Raw genomic sequence first — 17,701 nt, forward strand, 5'->3', positions numbered from 1 at the left:
CTCCGCCTCCCGGGTTCAAGTGATTCTTCTGCCTCAGCCTCCTTAGTGGCTGGGATTACAGGTGCCTAGCACCACGCCCAGCTAATTTTTATATTTTTGGTAGAGACGGGGTTTCACCATGTTGGCCAGGCTGGTCTTGAACTCCTGACCTCAGGTGATATGCCCGCCTCGGCCTCCCAAAGTGCTGGGATTACAAGTGTGAGCCACCACGCCCAGCCTGTGCATTGATTTTTTAGATATAATGCTACTGCACACTTAATAGACTACAGTCGAGGGTAAATATAACTTTTATATGCACTGGGAAACTAAAAAATCCATGTAACTTGCTTTACTGCAGTATTCACTTTATTGCAGTGGTCTGGAACCAAACCCACAATATCTCCAAAATATGCCTGTAGTCAGTGGGACACATGATGCTTCTTTGGTTGGGAGATTTGTGGACATGAGTCTTGAGGAATCTTGAGAAATTGAAGAAATGATGGAAAGACAGGCTAGTCAGTGGTCAGAAGGAAAGGGGTAGGTGCTGGGTAAAAGAGCAAATTGAAACAAAGAACAAAGAGGGAGGAAGAGAATTTATTTATTTTTATTTTTATTTTTTTGAGACTGAGTCTCACTCTGTTGCCCAGGTTAGAGTGCAGTGGCACCATCTCAGCTTGCCGCAACATCCGCCTCCCGGGTTCAAGCGATTCTTGGGCCTCAGCCTCCCAAGTAGCTGGGACTACAGGCATGCACCACCACACCCGGCTAATTTTTGTATTTTTAATAAAGACAGGGTTTCACTATGTTGGCCAGGCTGGTCTCGAACTCCTGACCTCGGGTGACCTGCCCGCCTTGGCCTCCCAAAGTGCTGGGATTACAGGCATGAGCCACTGTGCCTGGAAGGAATAGAATTTAAAAAGCATTTTTGAAATGGGAAGAAACAGATTTTGGAGGATAGGAGATGGAAGGAACCAGAAGAGGAGAAGGTCACCATCCAACTTACTGCATTTTCTGGAGAGTTTCGTGTTTCTTCAGCAGGTGTACCAGCCTGGTCTTGGTTTGGATGCCTGTGACTCTTACCATAAGGTATAAGGCCTTAGCCTGCACATTCTCATCACTGTCCATCAATCCCATAGCCAGTGGAATAGCAAAATGATGGTTCATGAGGCCTAGCCTATCCAGCGCCTCCCAGGGTAGTTCACGGATACGTGGATTGGAATGGATTGTGTCTTGTAGGAGGCGATGGGCAGTCTTAGAAACCAACTCTGAAGATATCTGGCAAGTGGCAAAAATACGTTTAAGTACCCTAAAATATCTCTTGTATTCCTCTACAGAGCAGTAAATTGTGAGGTTGAGGATGGCCTCTATTAAATCATCCATAAGCCTTCCACTATATTTTCTTCTCATCCAATTTTGGTTTGCCATGCTTTCAAGAATATCAAGGGAAGTTCCTTTTCGCACCTTGGATTTATCCTTTTGTTGACTCCTTGAAATTTTCTCTTCTACTAGAGTCATAGATGACAAGTCCCAGTCCTTAACTTGGTAGGATGAATACAGATCACAGCATAGGAAGACTGGGGTACCCTCAGGCCAAGGGCGAGCACGGATCACTGAGTTGGGGATGGCCATCAGGAGCAAAGGGCCATTGCCGCCCTTGACCAAAGAAGCACTGTGGCATTTGGTAGGCATTGAATCCATCCCAGCCAGCCAGCTGCAACGGAGCAGGAACCTCATGTCGGGGACGATTATACTTGGAATCAAGAGTAGAGAAATCAATATCCTTATCCTCCAAAAGAGGAAATTTGGTCTTTTGAATCACAAGGGACATGCTTCTCTCTTCTTCTACAACATGAGGCACAGTATTGTCAAAAGCAATGAACCGTTTGTTGACAAGGGTCTCTAGCCCCTGTAATTCCTGCCGCCCTTTTCCAAGGTAGACAAATCTGGGTACAAATACTGTTTCAAACATAAAGAAGAAGCTAGGAAGGAAGGGTTTAGGGACTTCTTGTATTTCATCTGCATTTTTTAGGATACGCAGGTGAACCAGCTGAGCTGGAGGGAGCAGCTTTAAGCAAGATACTATGTAGATACGCTGGTTGAAAGTCAACAACAGGTCACTTCGATTACTGGCAAAGCAGAGTGGTCCAAAATGCAGGGCTGAGTCGAACTCGGTTACAAGTCTACCGTGGAAGTCCCAGATCCGGACTGAGCCATCAATGCCACCTGTGACAAAAAGTTTCAGGGGAAGGCAGACATCAAATGAAGTGATGTCACACTCATGCAGGCATTTTGTCTCTCTCCACACAAAGCTCTGTTTTGATTCTGAAGATGTCAGAAAGCCTTCATAGTGCCAGAGACACCAGCAGTAGCTTTCAGTGATGGCACCCACAGAACCTGGCAAGAGTATCACACGTTTTAGGGGGCAGCCACAGAGGATTTTGCTGACAGGCTGAAGGACTACCTTGTTCACCTGAAGCACGGCCTCTGTCAAGTGTATGATGTTATCCGTGCCATAGGAACAGAGCAAGGCGTTTCCCTGAGGGCCTTCCAGGGTAGACAATGCCAATACTGCCCCAGAGTGAACAGTCTTCTCTATTCGGGCACAACTATAGTGGGAAAGGGTTCTCACAATGCCACTCTCATGCCCACAGAACATCAATCCTCCTAGGCCTTTTTGCAGATGGGACCTCCCATAGGCCAAGCATCTTACTGTATCCTTACGGTCTGCTGAAGTGCACACAAGATACTTGGCTGTACAAGGAGAGCGTGTTGCATCAAACACCAGCACCTCTGAACTGCCTATTGCCACAAAGAGTTCCTCTCTCTCTGAGTCATAGGCCCAAGCCAAAGCCTTATCCATAACAAGTAGAGGCCAAGTGATAACCAGGAGATCCCCTGTTACTGGAGACAAGAAGCGCAATAAACCATCCTCAGTGGCACATAGAATCCGAGTCCAGTTATGGCCGCAGCAGACCCGCTGCACTTGCTGGGGAGCAGAACCACAGACATTGAAGAGGCTATAAAAGTAGGGCAGGTGATGCAATGAAAAACTGTAGGTGGTCTGGCAGAAAAAAGTGGTATTATCAATAAACTGCAGTCTCTGAAGATCCTCGTCAATATTCAGCTGCCGCAGCAAGTTCCCATAAGTGAGATTCCATTCCCTCACTATGCCTTCACTGCCTGCTGTTAGTAAGGTGTGGATCTCTGGCCGGCTATGGATACATATCACTGATGAGGAATGGGCTTGAAAGCTGTGGAGGAAGTTACCTTGGTCTAAACCCCAAGCGTGGATCTCTCCAGCCCTGTTTCCAGCATAGAAATTGCCCTGAGAGACACAAGTAAAGGAGCAAGTGATGGAAGAGCCACTGGCGACAGGAGTGAACTTCACTTCTTCCAGCTGGCCCTGACCCCGGTGAATGAAGACCCTCACTGTATCCTCACACAGAGCCAACAGGGATCCCTGGGGGCCATTCAGGGAAAATCCCTGTACAAGCTCATGATCAGCCATAGGTACTATTTGAGCCATCTCGATGCCCATGCCATTTGGTAAGATAAACCAGGTAACCACAGCCCCCAGGGTACCAGAGAGCAGCAACTCAGCTTCTGGATCATAGAAGAGGCAGCTGGTGGAGAAATGACAGGGCACTGTACCCAGAAATCTGAACGTTCGACGGTGATCTCCAAAAAGCCTCAGGCGCATGTCACCACAGTAAGCAATTAACATGTGGTAGGAACCTGTGTGGACCATTGCTTGAATGGGCGGCCACTGATCCATCATGCGAAGCCTCATCTTCTCTACCATTCCTTTCATTTCTGTACCCTTTTTTTGTATCCAAAGTACTGCCTAGAAGAGGATGAGAGATGAAAGCCTGACTGTGGAGGTGGATCATTTTCCAAAGTGTGGGGTAGGGAAGGCTGAATATTCAGATCCCTGTTCCCTCTGGTGTGACTAAGGAAAGACTAGACAGCTTGACTTTAGGAATCTCCTAGTACAGCAGCTCCCACTTACCCATGGTTTCCCTTTCTGTGGTTTCAACTACCTGTGTGGTCAACTGCAGTCCAAAAATATCAAAAGAAAAATTCCAGAAATAAACAATTCATAAGTTTTAAATGGCATGCTGTTCTGAGTAGCAGGATGAAATCTCAGGCAGTCCCATTCCATCCTGCCTGGGACTTGAATTATCCCTCTGTCCAGCCTATCTACACTACATACCCTATCTGCCTGTTACGTCACTTAGTAGCCATTGCAGTTATCAGATTAACTGTCGCAGTATCGCTGTGCATGTGTTCAAGAAACCCTCATTTTATTTCATAATGGTCCCAAAGCACAAGAATAGTAATACTGGCAATTCAGATATGCCACAGAGATGCCACAAAATGCTTCCTTTAAGTGAAAAGGTGAAGGTTCTTGACTTAATAAGGAAAGCAATTGTATGCTGAGGTTGCTACCATCTATAGTAAGAATGAATCTTCTTGGCCGGGTGCAGTGGCTCACGCCTGTAATCCCAGCACTTTGGGAGGCCAAGGCGGGCGGATCACGAGGTCAGGAGTTCGAGACCAGCCTGAATAACATGGTGAAACCCTGTCTCTACTAAAAATACAAAAATTAATCGGGCATGGTGGTGCGTGCCTGTAATCCCAGCTACTCAGGAGGCTGAGGCAGGAGAATCACTGGAACCTGGGAGGCGGAGGTTGCAGTGAGCCAAGATCGTGCCACTGCACTCCAGCCTGGGCAGCAGAGTGAGACTCTGTCTCAAAAATAAAAAAAAAAAAAAGAATGAATCTTCTGTGAAATTGTGAAGGAGGAAAGACAAATTCATGCTAGTTTTGCTGTTGCACCTCAAGTGCACGCATTATGGACATAGTGCATGATAGCACTTAGTTATGAGGGAAAAAGCACAAAATTTGTAGGTGAGCCACATGAACACAAACATGTTCCAATTGATGGCAGTCAGGTTTGGTACTATCTGCAATTTCCGATGTCCACTGGGGGCTTGGAATGTATCCCCCATGAATTCGTGGGGACTATTATACTAGGAATTGGGTATGTGATAGAAGCACCATGTTCAAGGCCCTTTTCTTGGCCTTCAGTCTACTTGATGGAGAATATGAATTCTGAGGGCCTGATAACATGAGGTGAAGAAGGATCACTGCATCCAGTCAAACTGGGATATGGAGATGGGTACTAAAATGAGCTAATTCACAGTCACTACCATCATTCTAAAATGAGGGCAGTTCAGGTGTGATGCATGTAAATTGAATTAAGAAGGAGAGGGGGAAAAACGAGGTGGCTTTACCTGCATTTTTCCACAGGGTTCCATCCAGTTTAAGGAGACAAAACAGTTGACCTTGATGGAGTAGTAGAAGCAGACAAAAGGCTTGTTCTGTGGATGGTGAGACTCCCGGTATAGAGTCTCAGGCCAGTCACTCAGTAGAACCACATCATTCTTTGGTTCTTCATCATTCTGAGAGAGAAGAATGACCTGAGTTAAGAGTTCTGAGTCCCCACTCATTCACTCATTTCAGAAATATTTACTGGCCAGGTGTGGTGGCTTGCACCTGTAATCTCAACACTTTGGGAGGCCAAGGCAAGCAGATAGCTTGAGCCTAGGAGTTTGAGACCAATCTGGGCAACACAGCAAAGCCCCATCTCTACAAAAAATACAAAAATTAGCTGGGCATGGTGGTGCATGACTGTAGTCCCAGCTACTCGGAAGGCTAAGTAAGACAGGAGGATCGCTTGAGCCCAGGAGGTCAGGCCACAGTGAGCCATGACTGTAGCACTGCACGCCAGCATGGGTGACACAGCGAGACCCTGTCTCAATAAGTTTAATAAATAAATAAATATTTACTGAGAGATGAGTGGTCATTTGTTGTTTTTGAGCTAACCAACGTTTACCCTACTACTGGAAAGCAGCACTGGAGGGGTCATCCCTCCCTCACCCTCAGTTTGCAACAGAATACATCTGTATCAATTGGTCTCTTCTACACTTTCTCAACCAAGTTTCCATAAAAAAAAGTAAGCCCTCATGTCCTAAAGTATCCAATCTACATAATGAATTGATTTCTTTCCTAGTCATCTAGAATGCTACTAGTTATGAGGCATTGAGAGAAATGAGAAAGTAGCCCCTCAAATCATGTTCTGTGTTCCATGATTCAGATGAAGAGCCACAGTTGAGAAAGGCTGACAGGTTCTATGAAAGATTCTGAGGGTACAGTGCTGAGCAAAACAGACATGGCTCTGGCTCTTAAGAAGATGAGTCAGAGGGGAAACAGACGTTAAACAAATAACTAACAACTGAGTATACAAAACAAGTAAATGCTTACAAAGAAAGGAATACACGGTGGCTCACCCCTGTAATCCCAGCACTTTGGGAGGCCGAGGCGGGAGGATCACAAGGTCAGGAGAACGAGACCATCCTGGCTAACACGGTGAAACCCCGTCTCTACTAAAAATACAAAAAATTAGCTGGGTGTGGTGGTGGGCGCCTGTAGTCCCAGCTACTCGGGAGGCTGAGGCAGGAGAATGGCGTGAACCCCAGGAGGCAGAGCCTGCAGTGAGCTGAGATCGCACCACTGCACTCCAGCCTGGGCGAGAGCGAGACTCCATCTCAAAAAAAAAAAAAAAAAAAAAAAAAAAAAAAAGAAAGGAATACAATTCTGTATGACAGAGGAACCCAACCATGGCAAATATGTATACCTGTCACAGTTGGAACAACTTTTTTAAGTTCCAGCCTACACCAAAAGGACCACTCTTATTAGAATTGCACACACGATACACTGCCTTTGGGAAACTCATACTTCACAGTATGTAATAGGATGACCACCATGTGTGGCAGACCTTGTCGCATGCACCTCTGTCACTATTCTTTCTTTATTTATTTATTTAGATGGAGTCTCGCTCTGTCGCCCAGGTTGGACTAAGGTGGCGCGATCTTGGCTTACTGCAACTTCTGCCTCCTGGGTTCAAGTGATTCTCCTGCCTCAGCCTCCCGAGTAGCTGGGATTACAGGCGCCCGCCACCATGCCCGGATAATTTTTGAATTTTTAGTAGAGACAGGGTTTTGCCATGTTTGTCAGGCTGGTCTCGAACTCCTGACCTCAAGTGATCTGCCCACCTCAGCCTCCCAGAGTGCTGGGATTACAGGCGTGAGCCACTGTGCTCTGCATTCTGTCACTATTCTTATGTGTACCCAAGGGGAATGTGTGCTATTTACAACATGGAGTTAGCTGTGTGTCAGCTCTTCTGGCCATGTGGGGTGTGTGTATATATATGTACCTATCAAGGGAGTTACATACCTTGTAATAGGTTACACAGTAGAACATATACAATACATGCCACCTTCCAGTGATGTAGCAGATGTCTGTAATGTATGTACATGAAGTCCTCATGCTGATCAGCCAAAACTGAGTTCATGAAGTTTACTTCTGGGGTCACCCTTCTCAGTAGCTACTTGAACTATACCCACCTCCTGAACAATGCCCCATGGATCTAACTCTCCAAGTTTCTCTGCATCAGAATTTGTGCTCTGACCAACTAAGTTGGAAGGTATAATACTAAATCAACTGAAGTATTAAAACAACTTTACTTATAATGTCCATCATACCTGCTTCCTGCATCCACAAAGGATTTGAGACTATACTGAGGCCAATATCTATCTACAACTTAGAATCTCTCTTCTTTCTGTATTTCTTTTTTCTTTCTCTCTCTCTTTTTTTTCTTTAGAGACAGAGTCTTGCTCTGTTGCTGTTGACGTGACTAGAGTGCCATGGTGTGATCATAGCTCACTGTAACATCAAAATGCTGGGCTCAAGCAATCTTTCCACCTTAGCCTCTTGAGTAGCTGGGACTATAGTCATGCACCACCACACTTGGATAATTTTTTTTATTTTTGTAGAGATGGGGTCTCGCTATGCTGCCCAGGCTACTCTTGAACTCCTGGGCTCAAGTGATCCTCCTGTCTTGGCCTCCCAAAGTCCTGGGATTACAGGCGTGAGCCACCATGCCCAGCCCTACCTGTATTTCTTATTTTCAGATCTCAAGAGCTTACAGCACCATTGTCATTGCTGATTCAGTAGCAGTAGCAGAGTTGAGTGAAAGGACCCTGGTGTCTGAGCTCCCAACCCCTCATCTCTCTTAATCAGAAAGCTCATTTACATACCTCTTATTCCATTAGTTAATCATCATTCCTTTTCTCCTTTCCAGCCTTTATGTACAAACAATTCATTCACTCATTAAATGAGATCAACGCTTTGCTATGGAAAAAAACTAAGAATATCTTAACGCAATGTATCTGCCTGATATTACTGCTACCTACTCTACATCAAATCCTTCTCCTTCCTCTTCCCCCTCCTTCCATCCGAATGAAATTCTGATTTGGCTTAGGGCGATCATGGACCCAGAAACTTCAGCAACATAGAGTACTACTATAGTACTCCAAGGCTGGCATGGCCCTGTGGCTCTCTGAGCTTCCCTCTTCTATCTTCTATCTACTTGCAATTTGAGGCTGATACCTGGAAGTGCAACGACTATCTTGTAAGCCTAGGATAATAAGCTAACATAATAGAAATGGTGGAAAAGAAAGAAAAAGAATGCAGGTCCTTGACAACACGTAGGACAAAGATGCCTCTTACTTGTTTAATCCATATAAATCCATTTTCTGTTATTGCAGCAGAAAGTGTTCTAACTTACCTAATGCGATCATCTTAATTTAGCAGGGGAAGTTATTGGGGGATGTGGAAGGGTCTTTCCTAAGTTGCCTATGTCTTGCCCATGCCACAGCCTGCCTTGGCAGGAATAATTAGTCCAGGGCCACCATGTGCACAGCTCTCATACACATCACCTTTATGTCCTTCAGGATCTTATTTATGAGGAACTTCAAGTTCTTCCACTCAGGAATAAGTCTGGATGAAGATGATTTCCTAGTGATATCCCAGCTCTTTACAGACATCTTGGATTACAGAACCTGTGGAAGGTAAAGGTCTCTTAATCAACAACATCTAATGTTAGAACGGAAATTAAGGGAATTGGGAAAGAGGGAAGGGCAGCAAGATAAATTAGAGAAGTACTCCTTTAGAAGCCAGGCGCGGTGGCCCATGCCTGTAATCCCAGCACTTTGGGAGGCCAAGGCAGGTGGATCACTTGAGCCCAGGAATTTGAGACCAGCCTGGCCAACATGGTGAAACCCCATCTCTACTAAAAACACAAAAATTAGCTTGGCATGGTGGCACGTGCCTGTAATCCCAGCTACTCGGGAGGCTGAGGCAGAAGAATCGCTTGAACCTGGGAGGAGGAGGTTGCAGTGGGCCGAGATTGCGCCACTGCACTCCAGCCTTGGCGACAGAGCGAGACTCCATCTCAAAAAAAAAAAAAAAAAAAAAAAAAAAGAAGTGCTCCCTTAGAAACAGGAGAAACTCCTTTGTTTTAAAAAAGATAGGAATAGAAGAGGCCTTGGGGAGGAGCCAAGATGGCCGAATAGGAACAGCTCCGGTCTACAGCTCCCAGCGTGAGCGACGCAGAAGACGGGTGATTTCTGCATTTCCATCTGAGGTACCGGGTTCATCTCACTAGGGAGTGCCAGACAGTGGGCGCAGGCCAGTGGGTGTGCGCACCGTGCGCGAGCCGAAGCAGGGCGAGGCATTGCCTCACCTGGGAAGCGCAAGGGGTCAGGGAGTTCCCTTTCTGAGTCAAAGAAAGGGGTGACGGACGCACCTGGAAAATCGGGTCACTCCCACCCGAATACTGCGCTTTTCAGACCGGCTTAAAAAACGGCGCACCACGAGACTATATCCCACACCTGGCTTGGAGGGTCCTACGCCCACGGAATCTCGCTGATTGCTAGCACAGCAGTCTGAGATCAAACTGCAAGGCGGCAGCGAGGCTGGGGGAGGGGCGCCCGCCGTTGCCCAGGCTTGCTTAGGTAAACAAAGCAGCCGGGAAGCTCGAACTGGGTGGAGCCCACCACAGCTCAAGGAGGCCTGCCTGCCTCTGTAGGCTCCACCTCTGGGGGCAGGGCACAGACAAACGAAAAGACAGCAGTAACCTCTGCAGACTTAAATGTCCCTGTCTGACAGCTTTGAAGAGAGCAGTGGTTCTCCCAGCACGCAGCTGGAGATCTGAGAACGGGCAGACTACCTCCTCAAGTGGGTCCCTGACCCCTGACCCCCGAGCAGCCTAACTGGGAGGCACCCCCCAGCAGGGGCACACTGACACCTCACACGGCAGGGTATTCCAACAGACCTGCAGCTGAGGGTCCTGTCTGTTAGAAGGAAAACTAACAAACAGAAAGGACATCCACACCGAAAACCCATCTGTACATCACCATCATCAAAGACCAAAAGTAGATAAAACCACAAAGATGGGGAAAAAACAGAACAGAAAAACTGGAAACTCTAAAACGCAGAGCGCCTCTCCTCCTCCAAAGGAACGCAGTTCCTCACCAGCAACGGAACAAAGCTGGATGGAGAATGACTTTGACGAGCTGAGAGAAGAAGGTTTCAGATGATCAAATTACTCTGAGCTACGGGAGGACATTCAAACCAAAGGCAAAGAAGTTGAAAACTTTGAAAAAAATTTAGAAGAATGTATAACTAGAATAACCAATACAGAGAAGTGCTTAAAGGAGCTGATGGAGCTGAAAACCAAGGCTCGAGAACTACGTGAAGAATGCAGAAGCCTCAGGAGCCGATGCGATCAACTGGAAGAAAGGGTATCAGCAATGGAAGATGAAATGAATGAAATGAAGCGAGAAGGGAAGTTTAGAGAAAAAAGAATAAAAAGAAATGAGCAAAGCCTCCAAGAGATATGGGACTATGTGAAAAGACCAAATCTACGTCTGATTGGTGTACCTGAAAGTGATGCGGAGAATGGAACCAAGTTGGAAAACACTCTGCAGGATATTATCCAGGAGAACTTCCCTAATCTAGCAAGGCAGACCAACGTTCAGATTCAGGAAATACAGAGAACGCCACAAAGATACTCCTCGAGAAGAGCAACTCCAAGACACATAATTATCAGATTCACCAAAGTTGAAATGAACGAAAAAATGTTAAGGGCAGCCAGAGAGAAAGGTCGGGTTACCCTCAAAGGGAAGCCCATCAGACTAACAGCGGATCTCTCAGCAGAAACCCTACAAGCCAGAAGAGAGTGGGGGCCAATATTCAACATTCTTAAAGAAAAGAATTTTCAACCCAGAATTTCATATCCAGCCAAACTAAGCTTCATAAGTGAAGGAGAAATAAAATACTTTACAGACAAGCAAATGCTGAGAGATTTTGTCACCATCAGGCCTGCCCTAAAAGAGCTCCTGAAGGAAGCGCTAAACATGGAAAGGAACAACTGGTACCAGCCGCTGCAAAATCATGCCAAAATGTAAAGACCATCGAGACTAGGAAGAAACTGCATCAACTAACGAGCAAAATCACCAGCTAACATCATAATGACAGGATCAAATTCACACATAACAATATTAACTTTAAATGTAAATGGACTAAATTCTCCAATTAAAAGACACAGACTGGCAAGTTGGATAAAGAGTCAAGACCCATCAGTGTGCTGTATTCAGGAAACCCATCTCACGTGCAGAGACACACATAGGCTGAAAATAAAAGGATGGAGGAAGATCTACCAAGCAAATGGAAAACAAAAAAAGGCAGGGGTTGCAATCCTAGTCTCTGATAAAACAGACTTTAAACCAACAAAGATCAAAAGAGACAAAGAAGGCCATTACATAATGGTAAAGGGATCAATTCAACAAGAGGAGCTAACTATCCTAAATATATATGCACCCAATACAGGAGCACCCAGATTCATAAAGCAAGTCCTGAGTGACCTACAAAGAGACTTAGACTCCCACACATTAATAATGGGAGACTTTAACACCCCACTGTCAACATTAGACAGATCAACGAGACAGAAAGTCAACAAGGATACCCAGGAATTGAACTCATCTCTGCACCAAGCAGACCTAATAGACATCTACAGAACTCTCCACCCCAAATCAACAGAATATACGTTTTTTTCAGCACCACACCACACCTATTCCAAAATTGACCACATAGTTGGAAGTAAAGCTCTCCTCAGCAAATGTAAAAGAACAGAAATTATAACAAACTATCTCTCAGACCACAGTGCAATCAAACTAGAACTCAGGATTAAGAATCTCACTCAAAGCCGCTCAACTACATGGAAACTGAACAACCTGCTCCTGAATGACTACTGGGTACATAACGAAATGAAGGCAGAAATAAAGATGTTCTTTGAAACCAACGAGAACAAAGACACAACATACCAGAATCTCTGGGACTCATTCAAAGCAGTGTGTAGAGGGAAATTTATAGCACTAAATGCCCACAAGAGAAAGCAGGAAAGATCCAAAATTGACACCCTAACATCACAATTAAAAGAACTAGAAAAGCAAGAGCAAACACATTCAAAAGCTAGCAGAAGGCAAGAAATAACTAAAATCAGAGCAGAACTGAAGGAAATAGAGACACAAAAAACCCTTCAAAAAATCAATGAATCCAGGAGCTGGTTTTTTGAAAGGATCAACAAAATTGATAGACCGCTAGCAAGACTAATAAAGAAAAAAAGAGAAGAGAATCAAATAGACACAATAAAAAATGATAAAGGGGATATCACCACCGATCCCACAGAAATACAAACTACCATCAGAGAATACTACAAACACCTCTACGCAAATAAACTAGAAAATCTAGAAGAAATGGATACATTCCTTGACACATACACTCTCCCAAGACTAAACCAGGAAGAAGTTGAATCTCTGAATAGACAAATAACAGGAGCTGAAATTGTGGCAATAATCAATAGTTTACCAACCAAAAAGAGTCCAGGACCAGATGGATTCACAGCCGAATTCTACCAGAGGTACAAGGAGGAACTGGTACCATTCCTTCTGAAACTATTCCAATCAACAGAAAAAGAGGGAATCCTCCCTAACTCATTTTATGAGGCCAGCATCATTCTGATACCAAAGCCGGGCAGAGACACAACCAAAAAAGAGAATTTTAGACCAATATCCTTGATTAACATTGATGCAAAAATCCTTAATAAAATACTGGCAAACCGAATCCAGCAGCACATCAAAAAGCTTATCCACCATGATCAAGTGGGCTTCATCCCTGGGATGCAAGGCTGGTTCAATATACGCAAATCAATAAATGTAATCCAGCATATAAACAGAGCCAAAGACAAAAACCACATGATTATCTCAATAGATGCAGAAAAAGCCTTTGACAAAATTCAACAACCCTTCATGCTAAAAACTCTCAATAAATTAGGTATTGATGGGACGTATTTCAAAATAATAAGAGCTATCTATGACAAACCCACAGCCAATATCATACTGAATGGGCAAAAACTGGAAGCATTCCCTTTGAAAACTGGCACAAGACAGGGATGCCCTCTCTCACCACTCCTATTCAACATAGTGTTGGAAGTTCTGGCCAGGGCAATCAGGCAGGAGAAGGAAATAAAGGGTATTCAATTAGGAAAAGAGGAAGTCAAATTGTCCCTGTTTGCAGACGACATGATTGTTTATCTAGAAAACCCCATCGTCTCAGCCCAAAATCTCCTTAAGCTGATAAGCAACTTCAGCAAAGTCTCAGGATACAAAATCAATGTACAAAAATCACAAGCATTCTTATACACCAACAACAGACAAACAGAGAGCCAAATCATGAGTGAACTCCCATTCACAATTGCTTCAAAGAGAATAAAATACCTAGGAATCCAACTTACAAGGGATGTGAAGGACCTCTTCAAGGAGAACTACAAACCACTGCTCAAGGAAATAAAAGAGGATACAAACAAATGGAAGAACATTCCATGCTCATGGGTAGGAAGAATCAATATCGTGAAAATGGCCATACTGCCCAAGGTAATTTACAGATTCAATGCCATCCCCATCAAGCTACCAATGACTTTCTTCACAGAATTGGAAAAAACTACTTTAAAGTTCATATGGAACCAAAAAAGAGCCCGCATCGCCAAGTCAATCCTAAGCCAAAAGAACAAAGCTGGAGGCATCACACTACCTGACTTCAAACTATACTACAAGGCTACAGTAACCAAAACAGCATGGTACTGGTACCAAAACAGAGATATAGATCAATGGAACAGAACAGAGCCCTCAGAAATAACGCCGCATACCTACAACTATCTGATCTTTGACAAACCTGAGAAAAACAAGCAATGGGGAAAGGATTCCCTATTTAATAAATGGTGCTGGGAAAACTGGCTAGCCATATGTAGAAAGCTGAAACTGGATCCCTTCCTTACACCTTATACAAAAATCAATTCAAGATGGATTAAAGATTTAAACGTTAGACCTAAAACCATAAAAACCCTAGAAGAAAACCTAGGCATTACCATTCAGGACATAGGCGTGGGCAAGGACTTCATGTCCAAAACACCAAAAGCAATGGCAACAAAAGCCAAAATTGACAAATGGGATCTAATTAAACTAAAGAGCTTCTGCACAGCAAAAGAAACTACCATCAGAGTGAACAGGCAACCTACAACATGGGAGAAAATTTTCACAACCTACTCATCTGACAAAGGGCTAATATCCAGAATCTACAATGAACTCAAACAAATTTACAAGAAAAAAACAAACAACCCCATCAAAAAGTGGGCGAAGGACATGAACAGACACTTCTCAAAAGAAGACATTTATGCAGCCAAAAAATACATGAAAAAATGCTCATTATCACTGGCCATCAGAGAAATGCAAATCAAAACCACTATGAGATACCATCTCACACCAGTTAGAATGGCAATCATTAAAAAGTCAGGAAACAACAGGTGCTGGAGAGGATGTGGAGAAATAGGAACACTTTTACACTGTTGGTGGGACTGTAAACTAGTTCAACCATTGTGGAAGTCAGTGTGGCGATTCCTCAGGGATCTAGAACTAGAAATACCATTTGACCCAGCCATCCCATTACTGGGTATATACCCAAATGACTATAAATCATGCTGCTATAAAGACACATGCACACGTATGTTTATTGCGGCATTATTCACAATAGCAAAGACTTGGAACCAACCCAAATGTCCAACAATGATAGACTGGATTAAGAAAATGTGGCACATATACACCATGGAATACTATGCAGCCATAAAAAATGATGAGTTCATGTCCTTTGTAGGGACATGGATGAAATTGGAAACCATCATTCTCAGTAAACTATCGCAAGAACAAAAAACCAAACACCGCATATACTCACTCATAGGTGGGAAGTGAACAATGAGATCACATGGTCACAGGAAGGGGAATATCACACTCTGGGGACTGTGGTGGGGTGGGGGGAGGGGGGAGGGGTAGCATTGGGAGATATACCTAATGCTAGATGACGAGTTAGTGGGTGCAGCGCACCAGCATGGCACATGTATACATATGTAACTAACCTGCACAATGTGCACATGTACCCTAAAACTTAAAGTATAATAAAAAAAAAAAGATAGGAATGAAAATGAACTACTAGTATTTGCAACAACATAGATGAAACTCAAAAACTTAATACTGAGTACAAGAAGGCAGACACAAAACAGCACGTATTGTATGATTCCATCTATATGAAATTCTAGAAAAGAGTCATCTAGGCCGGGCGCAGTGGCTCACGTCTGTAATCCCAGCACTTTGGGGGGCCGAGGCAGGTGGATCACGAGGTCAGGAGTTGGAGACCATCCTGGCCAACATGGTGAAACCCCATCTCTACTAAAAATACAAAAATTAGCCAGGCGTGATGGCGTGTGCCTGTGGTCCCAGCTACTCAGAAGGCTGAGGCAGGAGAATCGCTTGAACCTGGGAGGCGGAGGTTGCAGTGAGCCAAAATCATGCCACTGCACTCCAGCCTGGGTGACACAGTGAGACTCCGTCTCAAAAAAAAAAAAAAAAAAAAAAAGTAATCTAGCCAACAGGGCCAGAAAGTAGATCAGTGGTTACATGGGGCAAAGATTTAGGAGGACTGAGTGGGAAGGGATGAAAGGGAACTTTTTGTAGTCTTGTAATGTTCTGTATCTTGACTCTGGTAGTGGTTACATGGGTATAGAAATTGGTCAAAACTCATCAAAAAAATATGGTATACTTTATTACATGAAAATTATACCTAAATAAATTTGATTTTATTTGTTTGTTTAGAAAGTCTTGCTCTGACACTCAGGCTGGAATGCACTGGAGTAATCAAAGTTCACTGTAACCTGCAACTCCTGGGCTCAAGGGATCCTTCTGCCTTAGCCTCCCAAGTAGCTTGGACTACAGGCACATGCCATCATGCTCAGCTAATGTTTTATTTTTTGTAGAGGTGGGGTCTTGCTATGTTGCCCAGGCTGGTCTCAAACTCCTGCCCTCAAGCAGTTCTCCTGCCTCAGCCTCCCAAAGTGCTGGGATTACAGGTGTGAGCCACCACACTCGGCCTTAATTTCATTTTTAAGAGGGAATAGAGTGACCTGGCACAATGGCTCATGCCTGTAATCCTAACACTTTGGGAGGCTGAAACGGAAGGATCACTTCAGCTCAGAAGTTTGAGACCAGCCTGGGCAACATAATGAGACCTTTTCTCTAAAAAAATTTTCAAAAATTAGCCGGGTGTGGTGGCAAGTACCTGTAGCCCCAGCTACTCGAGTACCTGAGGCGGGACAAGTGCTTGAGCCTGGGAGGTCAAGGCTGCAGTGAGTTGTGATCATGGCACCGCACTCCAGCCTGGATGATAAAGCGAGACCCTGTCCTAAAAAAAGAAAAAAGCGAGGCGTGGTGGTTCATGCCTGTAATCCCAGCACTTTGGGAGGCCGAGGCGGGTGAATCACAAGGTCAGGAGTTAAAGACCAGCCTGGCCAAGATGGTGAAACCCCGTCTCTACTAAAAATACAAAAATTAGCCGGGTGTGGTGGTGCATGCCTGTAATCCAAGCTACTAGGGAGGCTGAGGCAGGAGAATCGCTTGAACCCGGGAGGCGGAGGTTTCAGTGAGCCAAGATTGCGCCACTGCACTCCAGCCTGGGCAACAGAGCAAGACTCCATCTCAAAAAAAAAAAAAAGAAAGAAAAAGAAAAAAAGGCCGGGTGCAGTGGCTCTTGCCTGTAATCCCAGCACTTTGGGAGACCGAGGCAGGCGCATCACAAGGTCAGCGTCAAGAGATCGAGACCATCCTGGCCAACATGGTGAAACCCTGTCTCTACTAAAAATACAAAAAATTAGCTGGTCATGGTGGTGCACGCTTGTAGTCCCAGCTACTCAGGAGGCTGAGGCAGGAGGATCGCTTGAACCTGGGAGGCAGAGGTTGCAGTGAGCCAAGATTGCACCACTGCACTCCAGCCTGGCGACAGAGCGAGACTCCATCTCAAAAAACAAACCAAAAAAAAAAAAAAAAGAAAGAAAAAAGAAAAAGAATAGAGTGAAGTGGGTGCTTTATATAGTCTAGAAACAGAACAAAAAATACATTAAGTAAAGCTTTCAGGTGAGTTTAGGTGAGCCAGCTGTAGCTTAGCTGAAATAATGCAGGGGCCTAGCCCTCCCTTAGCTCTCTTTATTAGGAATCTAATATTTGTGGACATAATTATATTTATTAACCATCATCCTTCTTTCCTACGGAAGTCCTCATATATGTAAAAGTCACCCACTTTCCACAAATATTTCCTCACGGCTCATTATATGCCGACTGTGCTGAGAGCTAGAGATGAAGCAGGGAAGAAGAATGAGTAT

At 44.5% G+C, this 17,701-nt stretch overlaps 2 pseudogenes across 1 annotated transcript in view, besides 1 other annotated feature; both read right to left on the reverse strand.

The window, feature by feature from the left end:
• Positions 1–17,701, reverse strand: part of WDR87BP (WD repeat domain 87B, pseudogene) — a 31,475-nt pseudogene that overhangs the window by 4,349 nt on the left and 9,425 nt on the right. Inside the window, exons 3-4 of the transcript NR_040015.1 lie at positions 8,823–8,945; positions 5,277–5,444 (exon numbers count right to left, since the gene is read on the reverse strand). The product of NR_040015.1 is annotated as a WD repeat domain 87B, pseudogene (transcript). The remainder of the gene's footprint in view (positions 1–5,276; positions 5,445–8,822; positions 8,946–17,701) is intronic.
• Positions 997–3,846, reverse strand: LOC728853 (WD repeat domain 87 pseudogene; annotated as a pseudogene).
• Positions 8,539–8,833: a silencer, noted in NCBI's record as "tiled region #13711; K562 Repressive DNase matched - State 24:Quies". NCBI's record gives its function as "represses a minimal TATA promoter and a strong SV40 promoter by Sharpr-MPRA in K562 cells {active_cell/tissue: K562}" and the evidence as "EXISTENCE:reporter gene assay evidence [ECO:0000049][PMID:27701403]".

Source organism: Homo sapiens, chromosome 19, assembly GCF_000001405.40.
Source record: "Homo sapiens chromosome 19, GRCh38.p14 Primary Assembly".
In the NCBI taxonomy this organism is placed as follows: Eukaryota; Metazoa; Chordata; class Mammalia; order Primates; family Hominidae; genus Homo; species Homo sapiens.